The sequence below is a fragment of the Homo sapiens genome, chromosome X (assembly GCF_000001405.40).
Source record: "Homo sapiens chromosome X, GRCh38.p14 Primary Assembly".
Lineage (NCBI taxonomy): Eukaryota > Metazoa > Chordata > Mammalia > Primates > Hominidae > Homo > Homo sapiens.
Window position 1 is genome coordinate 79,162,057 of NC_000023.11, and position 17,993 is coordinate 79,180,049.

General features: G+C 37.2%; 1 protein-coding gene and 1 pseudogene across 3 annotated transcripts in view; one reads left to right on the top strand and one right to left on the bottom strand.

The window, feature by feature from the left end:
* GPR174 (G protein-coupled receptor 174) overlaps positions 1–13,262 on the top strand; it is a 30,631-nt gene extending 17,369 nt beyond the window's left edge. For all 3 annotated transcript variants that reach the window (NM_032553.3, XM_047442580.1, XM_047442579.1), the window contains one exon: positions 8,396–13,262. In NM_032553.3, coding sequence (NP_115942.1) covers positions 8,952–9,953 — 1,002 coding nt within the window. In that variant the 5' untranslated portion in view covers positions 8,396–8,951 and the 3' untranslated portion in view covers positions 9,954–13,262. The remainder of the gene's footprint in view (positions 1–8,395) is intronic.
* On the bottom strand, positions 15,144–15,612 carry CTHRC1P1 (collagen triple helix repeat containing 1 pseudogene 1; annotated as a pseudogene).

The window sequence follows — 17,993 nt, forward strand, 5'->3', positions numbered from 1 at the left end:
TAGCTCATGGATTGCAGGTAAAGATGGTAATTTTCTAGTTGGATGATTTTTTTAAAGGTTAAATGGACATGAAGCTAGAGGGGTCATTGTTGCTGCAAAGGGGGTGGTTTATTTTGCTTGTTATTAAAGTTATTTCAGTTTGCTTCACAAACACTTAAGTGAACACATTGTGATTATTTGGGGGAAACCATGCAGGAAATCCTAATCAGTTCAATGGGCAGTGTTCAAAGCACCTATTTTTATCCATTGGCAGGTGACCAGTAAGGAAGAGCAAATTTCCCGGCAGATAGGCTTGAGGGGAGAGGAGAGACAAGGGTGTAAAGAAAAAAAATCTGAATGCATTTATCAGTTTAAAAAAAAGGTTTTAAAAAAAGTGTCTTTGAAAGTTTCAAATGTAAATGTTTTTCAGTGGCCAATATCAAATAAGTAAAACAATAGCTAAAAATTATTAAATATGCCTTTAGATTTTATAACTTGAATGGCCTTTAAATGCTCTACTGCAAAGATGATACAGAAATGGACAATTTAAAATAATGATTCTGTAAACATACAAGGACAGATGTAGTATCTGTTTAGCAGGTGTTTCTTATAGATTTACTAATGGACATTTAGTAAAAGTCTATTCTAATTGTTGCGAGGAATGCATAAATTAATAGGACAGTGTCCCTACTCTCAAAGAGATTAGAATCTAGTGGTTGTGTAGACAACTATCTATACCATCAAAGAGATTGAACCATATCAGGCTATGGCACAGGTACATGCAACATGCTATGGGAATTTAAAGGAAGAAGGGCCAATTCCAATGTAAATGATTCAAGGAAGATTTATGGGAAGAAATTAGATAATCAAAATTCTCCTATTAGGAATTTTCCCACCCATCAAGGTGAGAAAGAGTTGCTGGGAAGCTGGAAAATAAGGATGTTCAAGTTAAAGTCAGACAGAGACATCGAGGTACATGCTGTGTGCTAGAACAGTCTGGCATGGTGGAAGCCTAGGGCACTTGAAAGGGTGCAATAATAAATCAGGCTAGAAGGCAGAACAAGGCTTAGAATATTAGGTTTTTTAGGCCATTGCAGTGTGGACACTTGAAAGATTTTACACAACTTAATAAGATAATTCAACCTTTATCTGATAAAGGCAACTGCAGAAATATGTCAGTCTAAAATAAGAAAGTCTTTCTATTTAACGTATTAAAAAGGAAATAGGGCGATTGTCAAAATTTTATAAAAAGAGAAAATATGAATTTGTTTTTGCCTTCTGAAATACTGCTGAGTGTTACTGATATTATGCTGAAAAGGTCCAGAAAGTTTACTTTTGCCAGCAGGATATTTACTAGTCTATTAATTTTAGGTAGGAGACAGCACTATGTCCTTTGAGTTAACCCAGAATGGAAGTCCATAGTCTTTCTGCAAGAACATCTGGAAAGATCGGGAAGAAGGGATTTTTCTCAGTTTCCTAGATGATTTGTAACTCAAACTGTAGACTACAAGAAAAGAAGGGATAATATATTTCTGTTTTTAAGGCCAAAAAACAAAAGCAGACATTGACCTGCTAGTCCTCCTTCATTAGATCCCAATATCAAATTGTGTTACTTTTTATCCTATGAAATAAGGAGTCACCAAAAATGAGCCAAATATTGCAAATAATGTAAATTACTGAAAATGTATTTAGTAACAAAATATTATGCAGTGAACACAAATATGTAACATTCCATTCAAATATTGTCCATGCATTAAGCTCTAGGGCCTCACATGATCTCAGGCAAGACTTGGAATGAACTCCGCTGTCCTTTAGGGCACTTTATACATCTTGTACAGGAGAGCAAAATGTGTGGCTCTTTGTGAATCTAGTACCTAAAAGATTATTGTGGGAAGAACAGAGGGAGCCATATGAAATGGCCCTATATGAATGGTTTTCACCACTTTCTTCCAATCAATATATATGATGCCATCTGAGAAAAATGTGACAACAGTACTGATGAGGACCTACATTATTATTTGATGTTCGATATTTCATACTTGGGGCATCCTTATTATAGACTTAGAGTAGACTGAGCTCCAAATGAATATGTCATTACCTGGGTACCTGGATCATGGGTACAATAGATGTGCCACAAGCCTTTAAGGTTAATCTAGGAATCTCTCCCCGCCCCCACCACACCCCTATGCCTTCCTTTGGAGATAGTTCCAAGGCACCACCTACTACTCTAACATTTTACAATTATAGCTCTGTTCTCAAATGTAGTAGCTTACAAAAGAAAAAGACCATGTAGGAGATGCATTAGAAATTATGTGTCACTTTCTGCTTCCACCAAAACCAGGTGGCTTGTGCCAGACACAGAGTTGTCATCACTGGTGGAAGATTACTTAAAGAGTCCAGCCATCTTTATTTTTAATGACACTCCAGTGTCACTAACCGGAAGGATATTTCTGAGAGCCACAAGTTGCCAAAATGCTTGGTTTGTTTCTACTAATCAGGAGGGTTATGCTACTGGAAGGAGAAATATAGGCCCACAATACTGGTTCTTTGCATGTCGTTACTGCTCAATGACCATGGAGGCTTATTTTCTGAATTGAGGGATAAAATAAATTCTTCCAAAGTCTTGCCTAATTGATGATATCCACTGTAAAGGCATAGGAAAAATGGTAGAAAATTGAGAAATAAAGAACCAGAATCCTGTTTAGTAGGAGTAGCAGAGGCAACATGCTACGAAGATCCAGAAAATTAATACAAGTCTAGCAAAAGATAAAACTGTGCCACTAGGGGAGGCTTATTTTCAATTATCTGGAATAATAGTGATCAATGTTTTGCACCTCCCACCCATACCTCCCTCAAAACTTAATCTAAGGACAGAGTCTAGTGTCTGTCATTTAAAATGCAAGAATGAGACACCTGTATTTTAAATTAATTGTGTAGTTATTGAGACATAAAATGTTTCATGGGCATTTTTTTGTGTAATTACTGAAAGCTCCATGTGCGCTTTTTAGAGTAATTACTGAGAGGCCAACAATTCGTTTTTGTTACTTGTATTTTAATATTTAAATTTTTAAATTTTAAATCATTTTCATTAGGATTCTTTCTCAAAGTTTCTGAAAACCCTAATGTCTGCTTAGAGGCTTCCGTATTTTTGTTGTTGTTGCTATTTAAAATGAAATGCTATAGATTTTGGACAATGTATTGTGAAGAAAATGGCTCCCAAATATAAGTAAAGCACGGGTAAACGTGGAGGAATACAACGAAGCACTAAGACAAAAAAAAAAAAAAAAAGCTGATATAGTAACTGAGCTTAAAGGCCAAGGATGCAAAAGCTTTGGGATCTACTGGGATGTATTGTATATGCTCCAGAAATTCTCAGTTTGTGTGAAGTACTGACATTTCCAGGGAAAGCTTGCCAAGTTTAAGTTCCTGGGCCCCATCTTTAAAGGTGTGAGTCTGGCATTTGCAGCCTAAACTCTATAGGACAAAAGGCTTATCCTCAAGAAAAAAGGAAATTAGGCCCAAACCAAGTGGGAAAGAATATTTACCTTCCTTCTTCTTAAAATAAGGATTTTCGGTCCCTTAAAATCACACCATATAGAGTAGCCACCTATACCAACAATTCCGGCCAGAACCTGGAGTGAGGCCTTGATAACTGGTTTTATTTTCCATTCCATGCTTGGTCTTTCTACCAGACCCCATAAGGTTGGTTTACTCCTCCCTTTTCACAGGCTATTAATCGTGTGGAGTAGTGGATAGGGCACACTCTCTAGGAGAAAACTGCAAGAAGACTGCAAAAAAGTGAAAGGGGCCAGAAGGGTCTGATTATCTTGGACCTTAGTTTATTTTATGTAAGCTTGGAAGCCCATAACTTTCCTTTAAAAAATCCTATTTCTTGTCCAAATGTTCATGTTTTCTCTGAGACACAAGGTGAACATTCAGAAAAGCTGGAGGAAAATCCCCACAGCCCTGTCAGCACCGAGAACAGGAAACATACAGCTTTCCCACTGTAACATACTAACTTGTGATCTTCTCATCACTTCTACTAAGTGGAAATATTTGAAATTTAATGTGTAAAATGGAACTTTGTAAAATTGTGACTTGTCTCTTAAGAGTTGGAGTACACACACCTAGAGTGCTAAAAACAGAAGACACTGATAGCCAGCCAGATATTTGGCTACATGTAATCCTAAACTGTCTGCTCAGTGTTTTATAGTATCCATCAAAAGTGATTTAATATTTTCACTAGTCTTTTAACCATGTATAGATAAACAAGGTGTGCAAACCACTATGAATCACAAGTTAAACAGTAGTCAACAAAATGGAGCTGTATAAAATTGTTTGCAAAAGACCATAGTATATATAAACTTAAAGGGATCTTTTTTTTCTTTTCTTTTTTCTTTTTTTTTTTTTTTTTTTTTTTTTTGAGACGCGTCTCACTCTGTCGCCAGGCTGGAGTGCAGTGGCTCGATCTCGGCTCATTGAAATCTCTGCCTCCCGGGTTCAAGCGATTCTCCTGCCTCAGTGTCCCAAGTAGCTGGGATTACAGGCGTGTGCCACCACACCCAGCTAACTTTTGTATTTTTAGTAGAGATGGGGTTTCACTATGTTGGCCAGGATGGTCTCAATCCTGACCCCGTGATCCGCCAGACTTGGCCTCCTAAAGTGCTGGGATTACAGGTGTGAGCCACTGCGCCCGGCCTAAAGGGTTCTTCTTACTACACTAGACTCTGGTTTAGATCTAAACTTACACCTAAGCTTAGTTGAATCTAACTGAGTTTCGTCTACATGCAAAGTAACTGTGCACTTTGGAGGTGGAAGATTATAATGGTCATGAAAACACTGTCTTTGCTGGCAAGCTGCTCACAATTTTCTGGAATGAATAAGAAAGGGACATATTTCTGACACAAATAAACTGCTTTGGGAGTTCACAGGTAGGTATAATCACAACTAGGCAAGAGATCACAAAAACCTCATGAAGAAGGCAGCATTTTAAGATAGTGGCCTTGGAGGACAGGCAGGATTTCAACAGGTAAAGATGGGATAGAACAATTTAAGCAGAGAGAAAGTCAAAAACACAGGCAATGAAGATAGGAAAACACAGTGAATTCCTGCAAAAACTTCAGTTTGGTTATGTAGCTTAACAAAATAACTGAATTGGTTTTGATATTGCCCTTTATCACTCAGTGAAGATTCTCAGATTTTAAGGCTCTCCAATTTGGTTATCTGTGATGCTTGTTAAAATGTAGATCCTTTGGCTCCACTCTTTGACAAATAAGATTCAGTTGTCCATCTGGGAATACACATTTTTAATAAGCACTCCAATTAGCCCTGGCGCCAAATTTTGAGAAACCCTGCCTAAGTAAAAGGAGAAGAATAAAAATAGACCCTGAGAGGTAAAAGCAGTGTAAGAATATGCAGCCTAACTTTTTTTTTTTTTCCAGTGGGTGGTAGGGGCAGGGAAGCGAATAGTAGCTAAAGGTCTTGTTAATTTCAGTACAGGTTGAATAGCCCGTGAGGTCCTCAATACCAATTGGTTTGCCCTATTCTCCACAATATGGAATGATCACAAATTAAGAAATCTGAGAAAAGGCAATATGACTGGTGATGTGAGACTGAGTGACAACCTTCCTGCTGTCTCCAAGTAATTAAAAGAGCACTTCTCAGAGCAGAGACACAGAATGCAGTCTGATTAAGAGGAAATTGCTTTCAGATCTCAGTAGAGAAATTTAGACTTAGCTAAGTAAAATAACTTCCTGGCAAAAAGGCAATGTTCACAATAACTGCATTGTCTGTCTACACATATGTGTTTCCTCTCTTCATGAAATTGACCTTTGAGGGAACTCATAGAAGATGTTGAAGCTAAGATAAATTGGGAGCCTGGTTCAAAGTGACATCCAGGAGCGCCTCTCTTTAAAATTTATTTATTTAAAAAAAGTGATAGAATACTCAGTAGGGCAAAACTGGTGAATTTCCTAGGGGAACTAACCAGGCAAATACTTTTCAAAGCATTTTATTACTTTGAAGATTTTCAAAAGTAAAAATGAAGCCCTGAGATTTGCCTGTGTGCTGATCAGAATTAGGAAGAAATTGTTCTTTTCTCTTCTGTCCAGAACTTGGGATTGCTCATGTGTCATAATGGTACAATTGCCTTTGATATACGTGCACACAGCTGTTCAGTTTAACAACATTTGCAGTCACTTGCAGCACACTAGGTCTGCTTTTTCTGGGCTTAATAAAGTGTGCACCTAACCAGAACTGTAATATAAAGTTGAATTTTGAGCAAGTGGTTGCTTATTACCTGTGATGGGATGGTTTCTGGACAGGGCTTCACACCCCAGATGGCATCTCTACTTGCAATTAGTGTCTCAAAGACCACCATTAGAAATTAGGCAATTTAAGCTGGGCACAATCCCAACACTTTGGGATGCTGAGACAGGAGCATCTTTTAAAGCCAGGAGGTGGAGAGCAATTTGGGCAACAAAGCAAGACCCCAATCTCTACAAATTTTTTTTTTTGATTAGCTGTCACAGTAGTATGCACCTGTTGTCCCAGCTACTTGGGAGGCTGAGGTGAGAGGATCGCTTGAGCCCAAGAGTTCCAGGCTGCAGTGAGTTAGGATCGTGTATCTGCACTCCAACCCAGGAGATAAGACAGAGCTGTCTTGTCTCTTAAGACTGTCTCTTAAGAACAACACCAAAAAAAGGAATTAAGTAATTTGATAATCTAGTATTTTTAATCTTTCATTTTATTTAGTTAAAACCCAGGTGCACATTTTGAAGGGAGAAAGTTTTAAGGTGCTATCAACTACCATCTTCATAGATAATGAAGCTTGCATATAGTAGGTCTCAGCAAAATGATACAGAAAGCCATTTCTAATATTCCTTTGAATGAGACTTCACCTGGACAAGCAACCAGAGACCTAATATTGCTGGAAAATACTTTTGAAACATAAGTACAACTAAGTAAAGCTTCAGATTTGGATGAACATATTCATATTCATAAATAAAAAACAATAACTTCCCATAAGAACTCCATATGAAATAGTTTCTCACTTACATATGGCTGAAAAATTAGCATGCTGAATTCAGGCAATCAATTCCCTTTCTCTCTACTTTTTTCCTCGTACCAAGAAAGTAAGTACAATTGAGGAAATACAGTATGCTGAGGAAAAAAAAAATCTGCCCAAGGAGCTTGGCATTTCCTTCCAATAAGTGTCTCATTTAAAATTGGAGTCTGTTTCAGTCCCAGTTAAAATATGGATTTTTTCTTGTGAAAGGACAATCTCAAAGAAAAGTGGTATTATTTACAGTTGTGCTTCACTGTTTTTTATAACACTATCTTTCTATGTCTTCCTTACCTGAGAAATCTCGGGTATTTAATCTCTTCAATCCAAAGGCATATTATGAATCACTCATCAAGCCTTTTAAGTAAAGTGAGTATCATATCTTTGAATAAAACGTGCTGTTTCACTTACCATGAAATTGAAGTAAAATAATAATAATTTGTTCAGGGGCTCAATGACGCACACTTCAAACCACATGGATTTGATCATTCAAAGCAGGATGTTTCATAATTCCCATTTCATTTTTGTTCTTCCCACACATATCTTTAAAGTTAGTTAAGTCCTCCTAGATTTCAGCAGCCTTGAGGCAACTATCCAGGCCCCTAAGCTAAAATTTACTTACCTCAGAATAAAGGTCATAGACCCAGCTGAGTCAACTTTCTATGGATTTTGATTCTCTGCTCTGGTGCTACATCTGTTGTCTCAGGTAACTAAGAGGTGACTAAATGACTCCTGTAAATGGGATTATTTAAAGAGAAGCTGGTTGTCCATTTATTTTTAGACATATAGGAATGATTTGGATCAAATGATGGTTCAAGGACAAATGCTGGGCTGGCTATTTCAAAACCAAATGGAGAGCTTTGAAAAGATACAAATTGCATACTGTACCCCATGAATACTCAATCAGAATCTCTGGAGGAAACACCCAGAAGCTTGTATTTTAATTTTTAACCTTCCCCAGATGATTCAGACAATCAGTAATGTTAGTGAAGCAGTAGTCCAAATCATAGCTTCTCAAATGTTAATACGCAGAAGAATCACCTGAGTTCATTGTTAAAACGCAGATCTTGATGCATCAGGTCCAGGGTGACGCCTGAGATTTTGAATTTGTAACAAGCTCCCAAGCGTCATTCGTTCATGAATTTTGAGTAACAAGGGGCTAGATTACTTCTCATGTTCTTTCAAGCTATGTTTTTCTGTGATTATAAAGTGCCTTGTAGAAACTGCAGCATATACCCTTCCCTTACTTAAGAATTTTTTCATTCAAACTAGAATATTTTTCTGAACACAGGCTTTTTTTTTTTTTTCAAAGCTGGGCCAGGAAATAATTGACTTATTTTCTTTTGCTTGCAGCTCTGCCTTTGTTTCCTACTTTTTAGCTTTTGACCTATAGCTGAAAAAGTCCCAGAAAGCTGATCTTTCCAAGTTAATCATCCCTGAAGAGTGGCGGACTCATTGTGCACTAAAGCAATCCTTTCTTCTATGTGAGCCAAAAAAAGAAAAACGGCCTGCCAGACACCTGTAAAGAGAAGGCTATCGTCATATAGGAATTTGAGGAACTGCTATATGGTACATTCCTTTTCCAAATGGGAGAGAATAAGCTCTCATGATGTCCCAGAGGGCCTTAAAATAAACAAGAGGGGAAATTGTAACAGCTTGTCATCTGTGCTTGTACACTAGACTTCCATGTAGTTACTCTAGAGAAATCTAAATCAAAAATGCAGATCATTCTTTGAAAAATCCCCAAATCATACGTAGAGACTCAGACAGATGTGGTAAAAAGAGGAAGGTTATTTTATACTTCGTATCTCCAACCCACTGGCAATCAATCTTTTGGAAGGAACAGCAGTTGATTGTGAATTTAGTTTTGAACCACCATTAGGCAAAGATAGTTTCTCTAGAGAGAATCATGCCTGCTAATTACACGTGTACCAGGCCAGATGGAGACAATACAGATTTTCGATACTTTATTTATGCAGTGACATACACTGTCATTCTTGTGCCAGGTCTCATAGGGAATATATTAGCCCTGTGGGTATTCTATGGTTATATGAAAGAAACAAAACGAGCTGTGATATTTATGATAAACTTAGCCATTGCTGACTTACTACAAGTTCTTTCCTTGCCACTGAGGATCTTCTACTACTTGAATCATGACTGGCCATTTGGGCCTGGTCTCTGCATGTTCTGTTTCTACCTGAAGTATGTCAACATGTATGCAAGCATCTACTTCTTGGTCTGCATCAGTGTGCGACGATTTTGGTTTCTCATGTACCCCTTTCGCTTCCATGACTGCAAACAGAAATATGACCTGTACATCAGCATTGCTGGCTGGCTGATCATCTGCCTTGCCTGTGTACTCTTTCCACTCCTCAGAACCAGTGATGATACCTCTGGCAATAGGACCAAATGCTTTGTGGATCTTCCTACCAGGAATGTCAACCTGGCCCAGTCCGTTGTTATGATGACCATTGGCGAGTTGATTGGGTTTGTAACTCCGCTTCTGATTGTCCTATATTGTACCTGGAAGACGGTTTTATCACTGCAAGATAAATATCCCATGGCCCAAGATCTTGGAGAGAAACAGAAAGCCTTGAAGATGATTCTAACCTGTGCAGGGGTATTCCTAATTTGCTTTGCACCTTATCATTTCAGTTTTCCTTTAGATTTCCTGGTGAAGTCCAATGAAATTAAAAGCTGCCTAGCCAGAAGGGTGATTCTAATATTTCATTCTGTGGCATTGTGTCTTGCTAGTCTGAATTCATGTCTTGACCCAGTCATATACTACTTTTCCACTAATGAGTTCCGAAGACGGCTTTCAAGACAAGATTTGCATGACAGCATCCAACTCCATGCAAAATCCTTTGTGAGTAACCATACAGCTTCCACCATGACACCTGAATTATGCTAAAACAAAAAACCAAACTGAATGTGACCTGAAATGCAAGTACATCAGAACATATCTGCAATACCCAAGCCACAGGGAAGAACTTGCAAAACAACACAGCTTTTCAGTTCTGCTCTATCTTACTGCTATGGGGAATTCACTTCTTCAAAGCAGGACCTATTTGGAGCATTACGATCCACGATTATTGATGTTGACATGTCCATGTAGTAATTTTTCTTCAAGTCTGTAAATCTTAAAATATCAAATTTCTGTGACATCCTATAAACATATGCACTCAACTGTAGTCAGTACTTTTACCTGTGAACCTCAGGCACAAAAAGATTATTAGCTTGGAGTCACCATAAACATTTAGTTTTGTTGCAACAGATACTGAGTCTTTATGTTCAGAGGAAATGTAAGTGTCTTTTTATATTAGTAATCACAGTTTACATGCCATTTTCATATGTTTGGTTATATTTTAGTGGGATAGATGATATATTACCCTGTGTAAAGAAAATGTAAACATAAGATCATTTTTATCTCTCAAGTGTGATTACTCTTCAGAGTTTGAAGATTAAAATAGCTATTTTCTTCATTTTTGTGTCAACATGAAACATCATTTGTCACACCTGTTCACAGAATGAAAATCTGAACTCAGGCCTCTGGCATATTTAAACTAAGAACAATATACATATTTACATACGACAACCCTCTGTGACTGGAAAAGATGCCGTGTTGCATCTACCTAGGACAGGTAGTTTGTCAAAGTCCATACAAGGTGACTCAATTGGGCTCTAGGCCTAGGAGAAAGCAGAAAGGTGACAATCACAATTCTGCTCTCTTACACTTTTTCTAAAGAACACTTCTGGAGATGTATGGACCCGCCTAGTAGAGGAAGTTTTTATCATGTTTCTAGAGATACATTGAGGTAATGTTGACAGGTTCCTGCACTTTCTGAGCCTGTGGAAGAAGTAGTGCACTAATGAATCATTAAACCTGGGCCAGAGTGAAAAGATGAAGCAAAGTTGGGTAATCTTTTTAAAATTCTCATCACATTGTATTTCTTACTCTAATACAAGGACACTTACTTAGCTTAGACTGCCAAGTTACTTACACAAGCCAGAGTAAGTCTCTCTGCCCCATCATTGCATACATATTACAGTCAGTCACATGGACCCTAGAATCCACATTGATTTTTTTTGGTCTAGCTTTGCCCCAGACATACCATTCTAAAGCCTACAAAGCCTAGCTCTTAGCAGCTGGGGAAGGCAATTATTTCACCTCTTGAAAAATGCATAGAAGATTAATTTGGTCAGCCTTTGGCAACCAATGGCCAATGACTTGCCTACTACCTGTTTGGTACTATTGTGTGGGAAACAGACCCAGGATATTAGTCGTAATTAAACCTTAGGTTGTAAGTATTAGAATATTTTGAAACATGTTTTAGCAAAAAGCTCTAACTTTAAGAAAGTTCTACTTAAAATCTGTGTGCTATATAATGAAGATACCTTCTACGTCTCACAGAAGGAATGTAGAACCCAATCAAAGGCTTTATCATATTTAGAGGAAAGGGGTTGTTTTAGGCATACAGTTATGATACTAATACATTAGGGGAAAACTGGTGACATCAAAATGAATTCTAATATCTAGACTGATGGAAAGTTTTCTAAAGTTTTCTTTGGACAAGTGTTGATTTTACACATATGTTGTTATTAAGATAATACCCTATTAGAAAACTGACTTTGTGCTGCTAGCAAGTGTATCTATGTGTCTCCTAACTAATCATTGTAAGGTATATGTTTTGATGTGTTAAATAAGTTTTCAATAAGTGTTAAACTGTATTTTAAATAGGGCATCTATAACTGTGTCTTGTCTCTTTGCTTTAAAGTGTCTTTTGTTTGACTATAATTTAGTGTTGCAATAGGATTGCAAGTAATAATTTTGTGGAATTGTGAAATAACTGTGGGTACTTTTAATGTGAGAGTCTTATCTATAGTATTTGTGCTTAGTATTTTCTAGATTAGCATGAATTACACTTCCTAAGGTCACTTTGGAAGATGATTGATTTGATTTAATTAACATATTGATTTCACTTTGACTATATTTTTCTTAAAGAGGAAGGGAAATATTTTCAGGAGATGTTTGACCTTCTTAGATGAATGGTTGAGGGTAGGGCCCATTTGTTAGGCAGCCCATTTACATCATTCCAAAAAAGGACCAGTATTCAGTGTTATGCTGCTTAGCTGAGGACACCCTTTTTCCCCAGGCCTGCCCATCTACGTTTGTATTCAGTGCTCTGATTTACTTTATTCACCCCTTATCCCATCAATATGTTTTGTCTTCTGCTTGATTCCCTTGCTCTCCCAGGCAGCAACCTGATCAATTCATTCACACCATGGTGCTAATAGCTAATGTTAGGTTCATATTAATTTACCCAGGAATATCTGAATTCCAGGCTTTAGGACTAGGCATTAAACCAAAGTGGTGACTTTCAATGGAGGGCTAATACATACTGAAGCAGACAGACTGGAGGGAAAGAAATTTTGGATAAAGTGGGTCCCACAGCACTGCCTTTCATATTGCATACAGTAAGCAAACACCTACTTTGGTTACCATAATGGGAATGCTGACTTTTAAGAAATTAAGAAATGTATCCATGAACATGGCTATCAGTTTCTCAGATGTCTGCTCACCTTCTTTTCATTTTGCCTCTCTCCTTTCCTACGTTGGGCCTGATTTTCAGGGGAAAGTCTAAACTAGTAGCTTACTAATTTAGGAGTACTGGTGCAGCTACGATCCAGACAGCAGCCTGTTCTCTGAGCTTCTCCATTCCATGGCTTATCCAGACTTCTCATTTATCACTCTCTGGGTTCTATGAAATTGTGGTGCAAAGAGTAAACACCCTCAACCATAGTAATGTATACTTCAAGATAAATAATTCCACATTTCCTATATAAAGTTGTTGAATTTTGATTCAAAAATGCGTAAGTATTCCAATAAGAAAAACTTTGTATGTAGTGATTTCTATGTAAAAATATTGTTATTATTATTATATTCAAATGGTTTATATGTTTTCATTGTCACTCAGTTAAGCAGCCAATTCTGTTAGCTGGTAATTCCACAAAGAGAAGCCATCTGCCCCAGGAGCAACAGACCAAGCTGCCTTGGTCTGAGAGGGTGCATCTGTGGAACTCTTGCGCAACTTACATTTTATGTCACCTTTTGATTTTACTCCCAAGATACTGTGAAAATGTTGCACTTGGAATTTATTTATGGCTATAACTTATAATATTCATTTTAATAATAAAGATTGTCTTTGTAATTACATAGAAATTTTCTGCCTCCAGAAGTCAATGTGTACTTAGTCACTTCTTTCAACACACCGATAGACTTGATGATCTTTTTTAGTGTTCTCACATGCATGGATAAAAGTCCCCTAAGACTCTATTCTCACTTTTTCTCTCTTTGAGAGGTGCAGTCTATTCTCGAAAGGAAAGACAAACCACACCCCCAAATTTACCCCACTCTTGCCACTCACTCTGTCCATAGATAGACGTTTTACTATTCATATTCTGCTAAAAATTATTCCCCATCTTCACTGTGGACCAAGTTTATTAGAACTACTTAAAGCTCTATATTTGTAATGATGGAACAGAGAGAATCTTTTCTTCTTAGTCTTAAGGGTTGTTAAGATGTGGCAGTCTGATTTTTTCTCTGGATTGTCAGGGGAAAATAAAAACTCATCTTCTACTGTCCCCCTCTGCTCTTCTCAAAACAGATCCACTTAAATAAAAAAAAAAAGGGTGAAGTCAGGAAAATTGTCTCTGACCCTTTCCTCAGCCTGGCTCTCTTTCTTCTATTTCAGTAACTCCCTCATCATCTTACCTATATCCCTAGCACTTTCAGGACCCCAAATATCTTCTATAATAACCAAATTTTTAGGAATTATACATTTTGGCTGTTGCAAAAATATTTTCCTAGGAAGTGGTGAAGGGTTTCCCAAGGAAGAATTTTTGATGCTTTGGTAAACCTAAATAAAATAATGGGATATAGATACCAGACATGCCCTATGCTTCAAATGCCCTCGCGTTTTATAGAGACCTGTTCTGTGCCCTCCTAAAGTCCGTCCAGAAACAACTTCACTGTCTTTACCACCATATTTTGATGGAGTGGTGGAGGTAAGGGAGGAGGGAGTGAGAGATAAACTCTCAAGCAAATGTGGCTATTTTCACTTGCTTATTTCTTGGTTATTAAAGGATGTGGTATGGGGAGGGGGAGAGCAAATTGTAATTTTACTGAACTTCACAGACCATTTCCTCTTCTTCAGAACTTATTCAGCCTTAACCACTACTTGATTTTGCCAAATAACTCAAGTAATAGAAATATGCCAATACTCTATTTTTTCTATTGTTTGGGGAATAATTATCTTCATCCTACTTCTTACTGCAATGCATATCTTCAGATTCAGCTACAGGCATAGCCCTATTCAAAGCCTTCCATTTGCCTTCTTGTATCTCTTCAAAGAATAATAGAACAACTGCTCCACAGGGAAGGCTGTCATTAGGCCTGCCCTTCTGACTCCAGCATTTACTTTTATTGCAGGAGCTCTTGAAGTTTGATTCTGGCCCATAATAGTGAGATTTTTCGGACTTTTCTAAACAATGTTGAGTATCTACAACTTGTAAGAAGACTTGTAGCATTCCTAATAAGAGGACAAAAATAAACAAAAAGAGTTTGAAGAAATGATGGTTCAAGTTATGGTATTGGCGTAGAAGCATAGAGGAAGTAGTCATACTATAAATTACCCACATTGTCTTTGCATAAAGTAAAACCCATAATAACAGCTTAAAAATGTTCTGAAATCACATTACTGCCCTCTGTCATTAAACGAGTTTAACTTTTTTACTAAAATATATATAAGGAGATAATACTATGAAAAAAGTAATTCGGTAAACTTTTTACTATGAAAAACATCAAACATATTCAAAAGAAGAGCAATAAATAAAATGAACACCCATTATTGAAATTCAAACAATATCAACACATGGCCCAGTCTTTTTTCTTCTATGTCTGCATCCAATCTCCTGCTCCAGATTATATTAAAGTGCATTTCCCTTACATAATTTAATCTATGAATACTGTAGTAAATCACAGTACCATTTAAATGAACTGTTTAATGTATGATCAAAAGGTGCCGAGGAATAAAAACTGATTTTAGATGTATTCAGTAAAGACATCAAACGCTAAATCCCAAAAAGTAGAAGAATTTCTCTTTGATTAATCTGAACAAGTTTAAACTCAGAAAACAACATTTACTAACCTGAGTCTGTTTTTCTTTAGGTAAGTGTTTCTTCTGCTGCAGAAATGTAATGAAGACTAATGTTGAATTCAGTTCAGGGTCTCCTTGGTCCAAATTATGGCTCCCATGAGAAGGAGTCCAGTACACTCAGCTCCACTGAATATAAAAATACCAATGTTAACAGATTACATTTCCATATTGTAGTCAAAATGGTCCACTAAACAATACTCATAAAGTAGTATTAGAATGCATCTATGTAAATGTACACTCTGCAATATTTCTGAAGCTTATGCCATAGTTATCTGTACTCTGTGAACACTGCTCATACATAGGTGGGTAGACTTCTGTAAAGTTTCCCTCAAGCATTACACATTTTCTGCCTTTCAATTTCTTCTGACAAGAATAGATTAGTTAGGCTATGGGTTCAACTGTGGTTAACAGAAATGTAGCTTAAACTACAAACAAATGTATTTCTCTTTTATGGAAAAGTTCTAGCATGGTAGCTTTTGTTTGCGAGATGTTTTAGACCTAGATTTCTGTATTGTAACACCAATATTTCTTGGGTATTCCTTTAATCTGAATGGTGCAAGGTATCGTTTAAAAAATTAATTGGGGGATCACATCAAGTTAAAATACTTCTGCACAGCAAAGAATATAATCATCAAAGTGAAGAGACAACATGCAGAATGAGAGAAAATATTTGCAAACTACCCATTTGACAAGGGATTAATAACCATAATATATAAGGAGCTCAAACAACTTTATAGGAAAAAATCTAATAATCTGATTCAAAAATGGGCAAAAATTTTGAATAGACATTTCTCAAAAGAAGACATATAAGTGACAAACAGTCATATGAAAAGGTCCTCAACATCATTGATCGTCAGAGAAATGTAAATCAAAACTATGATGAGATATTATCTCACCCCAGTTAAAATGAGTTTTTTTCTTAAAGACTAGCAATAACAAATGCTAGCAAGGATGTGGAGAAAAGGGAACCTCATACACTGTTGGTGGGAATGTACATAGTGGTGTTAGCACAACCACTATGGAGAAGAGTTTGGAGGTTCCTCAAAAAAGCAAAAATTGAGCTACCATAAAATCCAGCAATCCCACTGCTGGGTATATACCCGAAAGAAAGGACATCAATTTATCAAATAGATATCTGCACTCCTATGTTTGTTGCATCACTGTTTACAAATAGCTAAGATTTGGAAACAACCTAAGTGTCCATCTACAGATGGATGGATAATGAAAATGTGGTACATAAACACAATGGAGTAATATTCAGCATAAAAAGAATGTGATTCTGTCATTTGCAACAACATAGATGGAACTGGAGATAATTATAGTTAGTGAAATAAGCCAGGCACAGAAAGACAAACATCATATATTCTCACTTATTTGTGGGATCTAAAAATCAAAACAATTGAGTACATAGACATTGAGAGTAGAAGAATGATTATCAGAGGCAGGGAAGTGTGATGGGGGTGGTGTTGGGGAGGTGGGGATGGTTAATGGGTACAAAAAAAAAGTAGAATGAATAAGACCTACCATTTGATTGCACAACAGGATGACTATAGTCAAAAATAACTTAATTGTACATTTTAAAATTACTTAAATAGTGTAATTGGATTGTTTGTAACTCAAAGGATAAATGCTCAGGGGGATGGAAACCGCATTCTCCATGATGTGCTTATTTCACATACCATGCCTGTATCAAAATATCTCATGTACCACATAAAAATACACACCTACTGTGTACTTACAAACATATATATATATATTTTGAGATGGAGTCTTGCTCTGTCACCAGGCTGGAGTGCAGTGGCACGATCTCAGCTCACTGCAACCTGTGTCTCCTGGGTTCAAGCGATTCTCCTGCCTCAGCCTCCTGAGTAGCTGGAACTACAGGTGTGGGCCACCACGCCCAGCTAATTTTTGCATTTCTAGTAGAGATGGGATTTCACCATGTTGGCCAGGATGGTCTCGACCTCTTGACCCGTGATCCACCCACCTCAACCTCCCAAAGTGCTGGGATTACAGGCATGAGCCACTACGTCTGGCCACCTACAAATATTTTTGAAATTAAAATAAATAAATAAATGGGAGGTCCTTATGCAGAAATGGCTCTAGTGTCTTGGGCTTCTACATAAGCAAAGTGAAGCCCAATGTAACAGCAAAATGAAGCTTAAACTTAACCAATCAGAAACTGCCAAAACCCTTTAACTAGGGACTTTCAACCCAAATAAAGCAAATTCCTATCTGTAGCCAATCAAGTGATTTCTTTACTTTGCTTCCACATTCAAACTATAAAAGCCTGCTACTCACACTACTAAAGCAAAGCTCACTAAACCTCTTCTGTTTCTGAGTGCTGCCCAATTCACAAATTGCTCTTTGCTCAAACTCTGATAAATTTAATTTGTGTAAAGTTTTCTTTTAATCATATCTTATCACACTTATATTGTAGCTAGTATGACTGAGAAATGGGGAAAAGGAGGCATGCCTCTTCCCTTTAAGTGGATGACTAGAAATTGTGAATATTCTTTCTGTTTGCAAACCACTGGCTAAAAATCAGCTATGTAGCCCTGCCAAGCTGCAAGGGAGGTTAGAAATTATAGTCATTATTCAGGTGGCCATATGCTATTTGATATTACTTTATTATGGACGAAATGAAAAATAAATATGGGGACACAGTGTGTCCCTATCATTCTAGGGATATCAAAGGCACCAGCAATGTCATCTGCCCTAAAGATGCCATCTAA